Source organism: Homo sapiens, chromosome 9 (assembly GCF_000001405.40).
Source record: "Homo sapiens chromosome 9, GRCh38.p14 Primary Assembly".
Classification (NCBI taxonomy): domain Eukaryota; kingdom Metazoa; phylum Chordata; class Mammalia; order Primates; family Hominidae; genus Homo; species Homo sapiens.
This window is the reverse complement of record NC_000009.12, coordinates 120,576,907-120,589,593: the sequence shown is the minus strand read 5'-3', so window position 1 is coordinate 120,589,593 and position 12,687 is coordinate 120,576,907. Positions and strand designations below refer to the sequence as shown.

At 46.1% G+C, this 12,687-nt stretch overlaps 1 protein-coding gene across 17 annotated transcripts in view, besides 2 other annotated features; it reads left to right on the top strand.

The window, feature by feature from the left end:
* Positions 9,193-9,755: an enhancer, noted in NCBI's record as "NANOG-H3K27ac-H3K4me1 hESC enhancer chr9:123342117-123342679 (GRCh37/hg19 assembly coordinates)". NCBI's record gives its function as "activates a minimal SCP1, AML or CMV promoter by ChIP-STARR-seq in primed H9 embryonic stem cells {active_cell/tissue: H9 hESC(primed)}" and the evidence as "EXISTENCE:reporter gene assay evidence [ECO:0000049][PMID:30033119]".
* Positions 9,210-9,339: an enhancer, noted in NCBI's record as "active region_28892". NCBI's record gives its function as "activates an Ori minimal core promoter by ATAC-STARR-seq in GM12878 lymphoblastoid cells {active_cell/tissue: GM12878}" and the evidence as "EXISTENCE:reporter gene assay evidence [ECO:0000049][PMID:35858748]".
* The window catches only part of CDK5RAP2 (CDK5 regulatory subunit associated protein 2), a 191,293-nt gene continuing 188,032 nt past the window's right edge, over positions 9,427-12,687 (top strand). For all 17 annotated transcript variants that reach the window (NR_073558.2, NR_073556.2, NR_073554.2 and 14 more), the window contains exon 1: positions 9,427-9,674. Coding sequence is in view for 12 of the 17 variants with exons in the window: in NM_001272039.2 (NP_001258968.1) it covers positions 9,616-9,674 (59 nt within the window). In the remaining 5 variants the exon portion in view is untranslated. The remainder of the gene's footprint in view (positions 9,675-12,687) is intronic.

The following is a 12,687-nucleotide window of genomic DNA, read 5'->3' as shown; positions in this document are numbered from 1 at the left end:
GTGGTGCACACTTGTAATTTCAGCTACTCAGGAAGCTGAGGCAGAATTATTGAACCCGGAAGGCGGAGGTTGCAGTGAGTCCAGATCTCACCATTGCGCTCCACCTTGTGTGACAAGAACGAAACTCTGTCTCAAAAAAAAAAAAAAAAAAAAAAAAAAAAAAAAAAAAAAAAAAAAAGCCGGGCACAGTGGCTCACGCCTGTAATCCCAGCACTTTGGGAGGCCGAGGCGGGCAGATCACGAGGTCAGGAGATCGAGACCATCCTGTCTAAAACAGTGAAACCCCATCTCTACTAAAAAATACAAAATATTAGCCGGGTGTGGTGGCAGCGCCTGTAGTCCCAGCTACTTGGGAGGCTGAGGCAGGAGAATGGCGTGAACCCAGGAGGCGGAGCTTGCAGTGAGGGGAGATCGCGCCACTGCACTCCAGCCTGGGCGATAGAGTGAGACTCCGTCTCAAAAAATAAAAAATAAAAGAACAGTGATTTCCTGAGGGGGAAGGGAGATTGACTTGGACTGTAACACCAAGGAACCTTGTGGGGTGATGGAAATGTTTCACATCTATGCTAATACAGTAACCACTAGCCCCATGTGGCTATTTAAATTTTAATTAAGATAAACATTTTAAAAATTCAATTCCTCAGTCACATAGCTACATTTCCAGGGTTCAATAGCCACAAGTGGCTAGTGGCTATTGTATTGGACAGTGCAGATTTAGAATACTGTATTTCCATCATCCAAGAAAGTTCTGTTGGAGAGTCGTGTTCTACCTCTCTCTCTCTCTTTTTTTTTTTTTTTTGAGACTGGATCTTGCTCTGTTGCCCAGGCTGGAGTGCAGTGGTGTGATCTCAGCTCACTGCAACCTCCACCTCCTGGGTTCAAGAAGTGATTCTCCTATCTCAGCCTCTGGAGTAGCTGGGATTACAGGCACACAACACCATGCCCAGCTAATTTTTGTATTTTTAGTAGAGATGGGGTAACACCACTTTGGCCAGGCTGGTCTTGAACTTCTGGCCTCAAGTGATCTGCCCGCCTCAGCCTCCCAAAGTGCTAGGGTTATAGGCATGAGCCACCGCGTCCAGTCTGCTATTCTGTATCTCTTGATTCTGATGATGGCTACATGAGTATGTAAGTTTGCCAAAACTCACCAGAATGTATACTTGAAGTGGGTACACCTATTTTGTGTAAATTCTATCTCAATAAAGTTGATTTAAAATATTAACATTGGCCAGGTGTGGTGGCTCATGCCTGTAATTCCAGCACTTTGGGAGGCCGAGGTGGGCAGAACACCTGGGTTGGGAGTTCAGGACCAGTCTGGCCACTACAGTGAAACGCTGTTTCTACTAAAAATACAAAAATTAGCTGGGCATGGTGGCGCACACCTGTAGTCCCAGCTACTTGGGAGACTGAAGCAGGAGAATGGCTTGAACCTGGGAGGCGGAGGTTGCAGTGAGCCGAGATTGTGCCACTGCACTCCAGCCTGGGCTGCAAGAGTGAAATTCTGTCTCAAAAAATAAAATGAAATGAAAATAAAATATTGACATTGCCTCTCCTGGCCTCAAGGAGTTCACACTGTGGCAGCCAAGTTAACAATTACAGAGCTAAATGTCACAATGATGATAAGCTCAGGGTATGCTGGGAGTCCAGAGGTGGGACATCTACCCAAACTGGGTCCCAAAACTTTCTCTTAAACTGTTGTTCAGAGGACCCTAGGACTCACAGAGAAGGGGAAGGAAGCATATTTTAGACTCTAAGAGTCACTGGCATGTATAGTTCTTTTGTGTGAATTAGAAAAAAGGCATCCCTGCTTTGGGATAAACTCACAGCTTGTCCAGCACAGCACGGACTCAATTTCAGCCTCCACTCCTCCTTTGGGTGGATGTGCTTGTGTAGGGCACAGCCTGTGCAGTGTACTTGGTGGCATGTCACACACACAGGAGGACACATGCAAGGAAAAGGGGACTGTCATTTATCCCTTTAAGGAAGGAGGCACTGCAGCTGCCACAAGTGTTGTGTTCATCCTTCTCTAGTTCCTGCTCTGTGCTCTCAATGTGAATTCACTGCATTTAAGGGAGATGCAAAGTTTACCGTCCCCTCCTGCAAGTCACAAGACATTAAGTACTTCTTTTAATCTGCAAAATGTCCAGACAGTTGATTAATTCAATTACCCTTCTCTGCTTAGAGCTATTGCTGCTTTACATATTCAATGTGCAGCTGGAGAGGGTGCTTGAAAGCACTCTCTGGCATCCTAGGATAATTTTTCCAGCAGCTTTTAGATCTCTGTTAGCCAGACCCTGGATTTAAGTGGGTGGGGATGTGGCCATCGTACTGAGGATGATCAATTTAGGTAGGAGATCTTGCCGTGGGACATATCTCTGGCTCCTGCAAGTTTCAAAAAGCTCAGGAACCACCTTTTGTGAATCAGGAAATGGAGGTCCAAGCTCCTCTCTGTCACTAGCTTGCTGTGTGACTTTGGGAAAATCGGTTCATGTCTCTGAGTCTCAATTTCCTTATCAGTAGAAGAATGATAACAAACTTGTCTTAGAGCTGTTGTGAGGTAGAATCAAGGGATGAAGAATGTGACATGGGCTTTTTAAATAGTTGCATCAAGTAGGGATTTTATTTGATCTCTGTTGGCCTTCAAACATGAGGAGCTAGTGCACATAATAGTATGTACAGGTTTTTATCCTGCTTTTGCAGGGCATAGGTCTTACTTGTAAAACAGCCTTCCCCAACTGCTCAATCAGAATGACTCAATCCCTTCTGTGATCCTAGAATCTCACTGTTCTTTTTCTTTTTCTTTTCTTTTTTTTTTTTTTTTTGAGATGGAGTCCTGCTCTGTCACGAGGCTGGAGTGCAGTGGCACGATCTCTGCTCACTGCAACCTCCACCTCCCAGGTTCAAGCGATTCCCCTACCTCAGCCTCCTGAGTAGCTGGGACTACAGGTGCGTGTCACCACACCCGGCTAATTTTTTTTGTATTTTAGTAGAGACGGGGTTTCTCCACGTTGGCCAGGATGGTCTCGATCTCCTGACCTTGTGATCCACCTGCCTCGGCCTCCCAAAGTGCTGGGATTACAGGCGTGAGCCACCGTGCCCAGCCCTGTTATCTTTCTTATACCAACAAAGTATTTAAAATGTTTTGCTTTGTTTCATAATTATGTATGTGCATTTTCACCAGCTTCTTGAGGACAGGTATTCAGTGAAAGGCACTACGGCCTAGTGGTTAAGAACATGGGCTTTTGGATGAATTCTGGGTTCAAATCCTGTCTTCACAACTGAGCTACTTGGATGGTGTCGGGGCAAAACTTTCCTTTAACCTGTCTGGTTCAGTACCTGAGGGTTCTGTGTATTAAATGGACAAAAGACAGATTAACAGGAGAAAAGGCATATTAATTTTTATTAATAGTTATGTGCACAAGAGTTCATAGAAAAGAAGTGAAACTCAAATAAGTGGTTAGGCTCAAGGGCTTTTATCCCATTATAGCAAAAGAAGGGAGTGTTGAGCTTCAAGGCTGATAAATCATGGGGAAGTGATTAGGGAATATATGGGGGAAACTAATGGTAGACAGGGAGGAGGCACATGTTCACAAAGGGGAATTTATGTCCTGCTTCAGGGTAGAAAAGGAGAAGGCAGAAAATTCTTTCTGCATCTGTTGATTCTCAATTGTCTTCAGCTCAAAATAATCCTTATGCAAAAGGGGCATATGTTGGGATGGCATATTTTGATCCCCTTCAATGGCCAGGCAACTCTTTCTTCTCTTTGTACTTCAGTTTTGTCAACCATAAAGTTGGAGCATAATCAGTTCTTGTTTCATAAGGTTATTGTGAGGATTGAATGCAAAGTATATAACACAGTACCTGGCACATAGAAAGAGCTTAATATATGGTAGCTAATTTTAGTTATTCATGGAACATCACAGCTGAAGGGGCCTCAATGTTGTAGTGTAATGCACTCAGCATACAGATAAGAAAATAGGCCCAGAGAGTTGAACTGGGAGATTGGTATTAACCTTATATTATGTTGATGTGTGTTACCATCCCTAGTCCAATAATCTATATTCTATTCCTTTGATATTTGGTATTTCTCATTCCACTTTCCATCTTGAGAAAAAGTCAGGACTTGGAGTTAATTTGACAAACTGGCATTGAGCATCTACTATGTGCACAGCCTGGGGCTACATGTTGGGCCCAGAAGGCATCACTGACTTGATCACCCTGCTCTTCAGAGAAGGCAGTGGGTACTAATTGAGAACTGGTCCTAATAAGGACTGCTGGTGTTGAGGGTTGGTTGGTAAGAGGTCTTGGGAGCAAGGGGGCAGATGTGTCTGCCAGAAATACTGCCAACTGTGGGACCAGACAGGCATGGGTTTGAATCTCAGCACGGCCATGGTTTAGAAGGGCAGCTTGGGCCAGGCGCAGTGGCTCATGCCTGTAATCCCAGCACTTTGGGAGGCCGAGGTGGGCAGATCACGAGGTCAAGAGATTGAGACCATCCTGGCCAACATGGTGAAACCCTGTCTCTACTAAAATTACAAAAATTAGCTGGGTGTGGTTGTGTGCGCCTGTAGTCCCAGCTACTTGGGAGGCTGAGGCAGGAGAATTGCTTGAACCCGGGAGGCGGAGGTTGCAGTGCCACTGGACCCCAGCCTGGGTGACAGAGTGAGACTGTGTCTCAAAAACAAAAACAAAAACAAAAACAAAGCGTGTCATTGCCATGAAAGACAGAACTGTCAGAGACTGGAGGAGAGTAAGGAGATGTAACAAGTAAATGCAGTGTGGAATATTGGATTGGATCCTGGACCAGCAAAAGGGAATTAATGGGAAAAGATTAAATTTAAATAAGATCTGTAATAAGTCATATTGTATCAATGTAATTTCTTATTTTTGACAATTGTGCTATGGTTGTGGAAGATGTTAATATTTTAGAAATTCTTTGTACTATTTTTGCAACTTTTTTCTAAGTTTGAAATTATTTCTAAATAAAAAACTAAGAAAGAAGGAAAGAAAAAAAAGTGTGACCTTTGGGAAATCTCTTCCCCTCTCTGAGCCTTTAGTTTCTTCTTCTGTAGAGTAGGGCGATCAACCCAATTCACTTCACAGCATCATGAGGATAAAACGGAAGAGTGCAAAGTAGTAGCATTGCGTATATATTGATCCTATAAAAAGTTATTTTTGCTGTTAGTAATGGCAGTGCAAATGTCTTGATCTGTTAAAGCTTCAGGAGGGTTCTACCCAAATGAAAAACATCTGACTGCAAGCTACTTCCTCCCAGCCATTTGATATGACCTTGTCTGAGGAAATAATAATGCCAGCTTTGTGGTTGGGTGGCTGTTGTCAAGGAGATAGCCCCAGATAGCCCAAACAGCTGGTGGTAGTGACGTCACCTCTAGGTTTGGCAGAAAGATCATGGTGAGACAGAGACAGGACAAAGGCCTCTGTCTCTGAACATGAAACCACTACAGTAGCAGGAAAACCAACTTCCAAATAGCCTTTCCTTTGTGCAATTGATTCTATTTTCAGTTTCTAGGTTCACTAAAGGGTTTAGCACGCAACCCAGGGACATGGTCATGCTGAACAAGGCAATGGACTAATCATAATGAGAGATCCTAGGCTGGGCGTGATGGCTCATGTCTATAACCCCAGTACTTTCTGACGCTGAGGTGGGAGGATCATTTGAGCCCAAGAGTTCGAGACCAGCCTGGGCAACATACCAAGACCCCATCTCTACTAAAAATAAACAAATTAGTCCGGCATGGTGGCACCTGCTTGTGGTCCCAGCTACTCGGGAGGCTGAGGTGGGAGGATCACCTGAGCCTGGAAGGTGGAGGCTGCAGTGAGCTATGATCACTCTTATTGTACTCCAGCCTGGTTGACAAAGCAAGACCCTGTGTCCAAAAAAAAAATTAAATAAGTTAAAAAAACAACCCAACTCCTCACAGGTTCTTTCATCTTCAATAATGTCTAAGGTATTCAATTAGATGAGGCAACCATGTGAACTCAGCATTGTCCTCCCCATTTTACACATGAAAATCGAAGTGTAGCAAGGGGAAGGAACCCCAGGTCACAGGATAAATGGGAGGAGTTTCCAGAGTCAGAATCCAGGTGTCCAGACTTCCAGTTCTGTAAACTGCCCACACTAAGATTCACCTCTTAGCCACTTTGAAGCAGTTTCCCAAGGAGTAGAGTCTGGTGAACACAACCCTTAAATACTGTCGTCTGGATGTAGACCTTGCCTCTTAGTACTAAATTCTAAAGCAAAAGAGAAACCCAAATGGGGATGACAGGTTGCCTGAAACAATCAAGGTGTTGGAATTCAAAGGGCCCTGGTCTCAATTCCAGCTCTGGCACTTACCAGCTGTAGGACCTTCAGTAAGTAGTTTTTACCTTTTGCAGCCTCAGTCTTCTCAATTGTAAGTCAGATAGTAGCGCCTCCTGCAGAAGGTTGTTGGGAGGGTTAAATGAGGTGGTGCATGTAATATGCCTGGAACAAGTGACGTATAAGACATGCTCAAAATGTATAAGTTCTCTTCCTTGTTTATATTCTCAAGAGTTTTCATTGGCTGGAGATGCAAAGTTAGTTCTTTCATGTGGGAAGTGTTAGCCTCCCTCCCCAGGAGAGAGTTGGTTGTATGTTAGTAGCTTTGAAATAAACACAGAAGCCAGGCACAGTGGCTCACACCTGTAATCCCAGCACTTTGGGAGGCCGAGGTGGGTGGATCACCTGAGGTCAGGAGTTCGAGGCCAGCCTGGCCAACATGGTGAAACCCCGTCTCTACTAAAAATACGAAAATTAGCTGGGCGTGGTGGCAGGTGCCTGTAATCCCAGCTACTTGGGAGGCTGAGGTGGGAGAATCGCTTGAATCCAGGAGGTTGCAGTGAGCTGAGATCGCGTCACTGTATTCCAGCCTGGGCAACAGAGCAAGACTCCATCTTAAAAAAAAAAAAAAAAAGAAATGTAGAAATCACCTCCAGAGCTGTAACATCCTGAGAGACCCTGAGAGGTTCAGCCCTCTCATTTAACAGATGTAGAAGCTGAGGTCCACAGAGAAGTGATTGGCCAGGCCGGGTGGGGTGGCTCATGCCTGTAATCCCAGCACTTTGGGAGGCTGAGGTGGGTGGATCACCTGAGGTCAGGAGTTCGAGACCAACCTGACCAAGATGGACAAACCCTGCCTCTACTAAAAATACAAAACTAGCCGGACGTGGCAGTGCATGCCTATAATTCCAGCCACTTGGGAGGCTGAGGCAGGAGAATCGCTTGAACCCGGGAGGCAGAGGTTGTGGTGAACCGAGATCGTGCCATTGCACTCCAGCCTGGGCAACAAGAGCAAAACTCCATCTCAAAAAAAAAAAAAAAGGTGATCTGCCAAAGATCACAGAGTTGGTGGCAGAGCCAGGGTGGGAATCCTGACACCCCAACTTCCCTGCTTTTGGACACACCTATCTCATGGGTTGAACTTACTGGCAAGGAGTATTGGTTCCTGGGCTTCAAGGACTGCCCCGTTCCTGAGGCAGTGCACCAGGTGTGCTAAGCTTTCCCTCTTTTTCATGCTTTTATCATTGCTAATTGTGGGTGTGGTTGAAGATCTAGAGAAAGAAGGGGGACAGGCAAATAATCGCGGGCTTTGGAAGCCTAACTAAAGCTGAGAGAGAGACAGAGAGAGAGAGAGAAAGAGAGAGAATGAATATGAATCTGGGATACACAGAATTACTATTGACAGAGGTCCTAAAAGTATCTCTGATTATTCTCACAAAAACCTTGCAGGATAGGTATTGGCCTTATTTCCAGACTGATTGATTGAATCACTCATTCATTTAACATACATTTTCAAATAGCTGCTGAGTGGCAGACATAGTGCTAGGTGTTGAGGATATAGCAGTGAACAATTCAGAATATAGTCCCTGCCCCATGCAGCTTCCAGTCTAGTGCAAGGAAAGACATTTAAAAAATGATTTTACACACACACACACACACACAAATTGCAAAATATGGTAAGTGCCACAAAGGAATAATTTGCATTGCTAGGAATACAAGAAGTGGCTTGATTTAGATTAAATGACTAGGGAAGGCTTCTTTTGAAAAGTATCAATAATTGGTTAATTACTTAACTGAAGAATGAGGGCCTGGTGCAGTGGCTCAGGCCTATAACCCCAGCACTTTGGGAGGCCAAGGTGGGAGGATTGCTTGAGGCCAGGAGTTCAAGACCAGCCTGGGCAACATAGTGAGACCCTGTCTCTATTTAAAAAAAAAAAAAAAAGAATGAGGAAACAGGGTGAAAGGGGAATTGTTCAAGATTACTGGGAAAGTCACTATCTATCCACTCACCAACCATTTCAAGTTATTTTCATCGGGCTCTCTCACAAGGGCCTGCAGAGGAAGGAGCAACACTGAGTTGAGGAGGGGAAGGTTAATTTCATTGCTTAAGCTCTGCCAAGATTATCTAAGTGTTTGGTGATTGCTATGTGCTTTAAGAAAGGCAGCCAAGGGGCCGGTGCTGTGGCTCACGCCTGTAATCCCAGCAGTTTGGAAGGCCGGGGTGGGCAGATCACGAGGTCAGGAGATTGAGACCATCCTGGCCAACATGGTGAAACCCCGTCTCTACTAAACATACAAAAATTACCCGGGTGTGGTGGCGCAAGGCCGAGGCAGAAGAATCGCTTAAACCCAGAAGGTGAAGGTTGCAGTGAGCTGAGATCGGGCCACTGCACTCCAGCCTGGCGACAGAGGCACCATTTCAAAAAAAAAAAAAAAGAAAGGCAGCCAGGGTTATGCAGAGAGCCCTCATCTAGTTGGCAGGAGCTGCAGACCCCCACTCCAGTTGAAAGACATTGTCAATACTTAATTACTTTGGGAGAGTCCTTTCCTCTTGCTGGCCCTCAGTTTTCTGACCACAGGTGCCTTTGAGTCCTAATGGTAATAAAAGACCAATAGGTGAGAGACTGGAGTGGGAGTGCTGTTGACCACTGGCTCATGGGAATGAGTTATTTGCTTCAAACTAAGTCTGCAAATTACTGTTTGCCTTGAGATTCCGCACGTAGTATTTTTCCAAAGCAAGGCAGCACTCAGTTATCTGAGTTTCAACTTAAGGTCAAATCCCAAAGTTTTGGGGTCATTATTCTAGAAAAGCAAACACGAGGTTAGGAACTTTGAGGATTCCTGAGTGGCTGTATTCATTTCCATCTCCCGCGTAAATTAACGGACTAGGGCCCGCTTTGGCCCTCAACAAAGATGGCACCCGCCCTCGCCTCTCCCTAAGTGCCCTCACAAAAAATGGCAGCCGGCCTTTTTTTGTCTCTTATTTTTGCTTGGCTTAAGCACGGATGCTTTGCCCTTAGTTAAGATGGCACCTATCCCCGCTTCCCTGCCCGTCCTCTGGCGCCAGCCGGTCGGCTTCACTGCGTGCGCCTCCGTGACCCCGCCTCGTTTCCGTAGGAAGAAGCGCCGGGAAAGATGGCGGCGTCTGTGGTTTGAATTCCAGCGGCGCCGCCAGAGTCTGAACAAGAGCTGGGGTGGAGGGGGCGGGGACCTGGGGAGCCCGGCGGGTCGCTATCGCGGGGGGTACTAGTGGCGCCGCCGCCACAGACACCAACGCTGTCGCCACCTCTGTAGCCATGATGGACTTGGTGTTGGAAGAGGACGTCACCGTCCCTGGGACGCTCAGCGGCTGCAGGTGCGGCCGGGGCATTGGTGGTCGTGGTAACCGGGCCGGGGTTCCAGCTGGTGGGATTTCGTTCTAACGCGGCCTTGGGGTTTGCTCTTGAGGGTGTCTGGCCAGGGGCAGTGTGTGGGGTGGGTTCCTTCGGAGAGGGTCTCTGGGGGGCCCACCACCTGACACTCTGGAGGGCTGGGAGCCGCGACCTGCACCACAATTGCCAGTAGCATTGCGCCATGTACTTTGTAGAGCGTGTGAAGAACAGGTAAGGAGTTTTCTGAAAGAGTAGGACGAGGGTGGGGCCACTTGGAGTATCCCGTTAGTGGGGATTGGTGGAGAACAGGGACCTTGAGGGCACCTGATGGTTCCTTCTGGTTTGAGAGTTTGTTTTCATTATGGAGAGAGTGTAGCCGGTATGCCCAGACTTTGCTTTTTGGGTCACATAGTGGCCACCCAGGAGGCAATGGAGTGCAATGATTAAGAACCTTGGCTAGAGTTGGACAAAACTGGATTCAAATCCAGCCCTGTAAACTGACTAGCTGTGTGACCTTGGTAAAGTGATTTCACCGGCTTTCCCATCTGTAAAATGGGCTAGTAATATCCACCCAACAGAGTTGGGGTGAGGATTAAAAGAGGTGATGCCTGTCGAGCCATTTGCTTGGCAGGTGTAGTGCCTGCCACATAATCAGTGCTTAAAAAATGATCTTGTGTTGCCATTAGTGTCATTATTACTACTGTCATCAAAGGTGATATGAATCAGGGAATAATGGCCAAGAGTGGCCTCCCATGGACCTGCCCCAAGAGACTGTGGGAGTCCCCATTGCTGGTGGAGCTGGGGTCTGGTAGGAAGGCCTAACAGAGCGCAACTCTGCTCCACGGCTGGCCCCTGTGGTTGTCCTAGACTCCTGGTTGGAGAGTGAGTAGAGGGAAGAGGAGGAGAGCCCTGACGGAGAACCTGCACTGTTTATCCAGCTCTACTATGGACAAGCTGCTGCTTTTAGTCAACAGATCCTAATTGAAAGGGTGACCATGTTATTTATTGTGCTAACTGGGACACTTAAGAGTGAAAAGAGCCAGGTGCGGTGGCTCACCTGTGTAATCCTAGCCCTTGGGGAGGCCGAGGTGGGCCGATTTCTTGAGCTCAGGAGTGTGAGATCAGCCTGGGCAACATGGTGAAATCCTATCTCTACAAAAACTACAAAGATTAGCCAGGCGTGGTGGCATGCACTTGTAGTCCCAGCCGCTCGGGAGGCTGAGGCAGGAGGATTGCATGAGCCCGGAAGGTTGATGCTGCAGTGAGCTGTGTTCATGCCACTGCACTGTAGCCTGGGTGACAAAGTGAGACTCTATCTTTAAAAAAAAAAAAAAGGAAAGTGAAAATAATTAATATTTATGCCCGGGCAGCAGACATAAAGAGGGCCTATCTTGGGTAAACCTGGACAAATGGTTTTTCTGTTTATTGAGAACCTTCATGTATGAGGCACAGACTAAGATGCTTTGCAGTTCCTGTCTAATTGGGTCCTGTGATATTTCATCATGCCCTTTTCTATCTATTTTACATCCACTGCCCCAATATATTGGGAGTATGGCTTCTCTCTTGTATTGTCCTTTGCACCTCTAATAGTTTTTTATACTACAATTTGAAAACTATTTTTTATTTATTTATTTTTTTGAGACGGAGTCTTGCTTTGTGACCAGGCTGGAGTGCAGTGGCGCGATCTCGGCTCACTTCAACCTCCGCCTCCCGGGTTCAAGCAATTCTCCTGCCTGAGCCTCCGGAGTAGCTGGGATTACAGGAGTGCACCACCGTGCGTGGCTAATTTTTGTATTTTAGTAGAGACGGGATTTCACCATGTTGGCCAGGATGGTCTCCATCTCCTGATCTCATGATCTGCTCTCCTTGGCCTCCCAAAGTTCTGGGATTACAGGCGTGAGCCACCGCGCCCGGCGTGAGAACTATTTTTTAAATATAAATCTGCTCTTCACAGTCTGCTGCTTTATACTTTTAATGCTGCTTATTGCTGTTATCATAACTTCCATTATTATTCTCTCAGATAGCCATTCTTATTTCAGTGCTTTTTGGCCAGACACTTGGGTTTTGGGGTCCCAGGCCTAGCTGGGTTTTAATCCCAGTTCTGCTACTTAACAACCCCTTGATCTGGGGCAAGTCACTCATCATCTGTGAGCCTCAGTGTTTATCATCTGTAAAAGGGGTTGGTATAAAGCCTAGGGTTGGCATAAGGATTAAAATGAATCTTAAAAAGTTTAGCTCAGTGTCTGACCCAGAGTAACTACTCAACAGATCAGCAAATATTCTCCTTTCCCTCATCTCCCTGCCTTTGCAGGACGTAGATACTGCATACATTCCATCTTAACCATTTTAAAGCATGGTTCAGTTGTATTAAATATATTTGTATTATTGCTCAACGGTCACCACTATCTATCTTCGTAACTCTCCATCTTGCAAAACAGAAACTGTGTCCCTGTTAAAACAGTAACTCCCTATTCCCCCCTTCTCCCAGCCTCTGACAATCACCATTCTACTTTCTGTCTCTATGATTTTTTTTTTTTTTTTTTGAGACAGGGTCTCGCTTTGTTGCCCAGGCTGGAGTGCAGTGGAGTGATCTTGGCTCACTGCAACCTCCGCCTCCAGAGTTCAAGCAATTCTCATGGTTCAGCCACTTAGTGGCCGGGACTACAGGCATGCCCCACTACGCCTGGCTAATTTTTGTATTTTTGGTAGAGACGGGGTTTCACCAGGTTGACCAGGCTGGTCTTGAACTCCTGGCCTCAAGTGTTGTGCCTGCCTCGGCCTCCCAGAGTGCTGGGATTATAGGTATGTGCCATTGCGCCCAGCCTGTCTCTATGATTTTGACTACTCTAAGTGTCGCGTATAAGTAGAATCATACACTATTTGTCCTTCTGTGACTGGTTTATTTAACTTAGCATTATGTCCTCAAGGTTCATGCGTGTTGTAGTATGTGTCAGAATTTCTTTCCTTTTTAAGGCTTTTGTTTTTAATTTTTTTTAG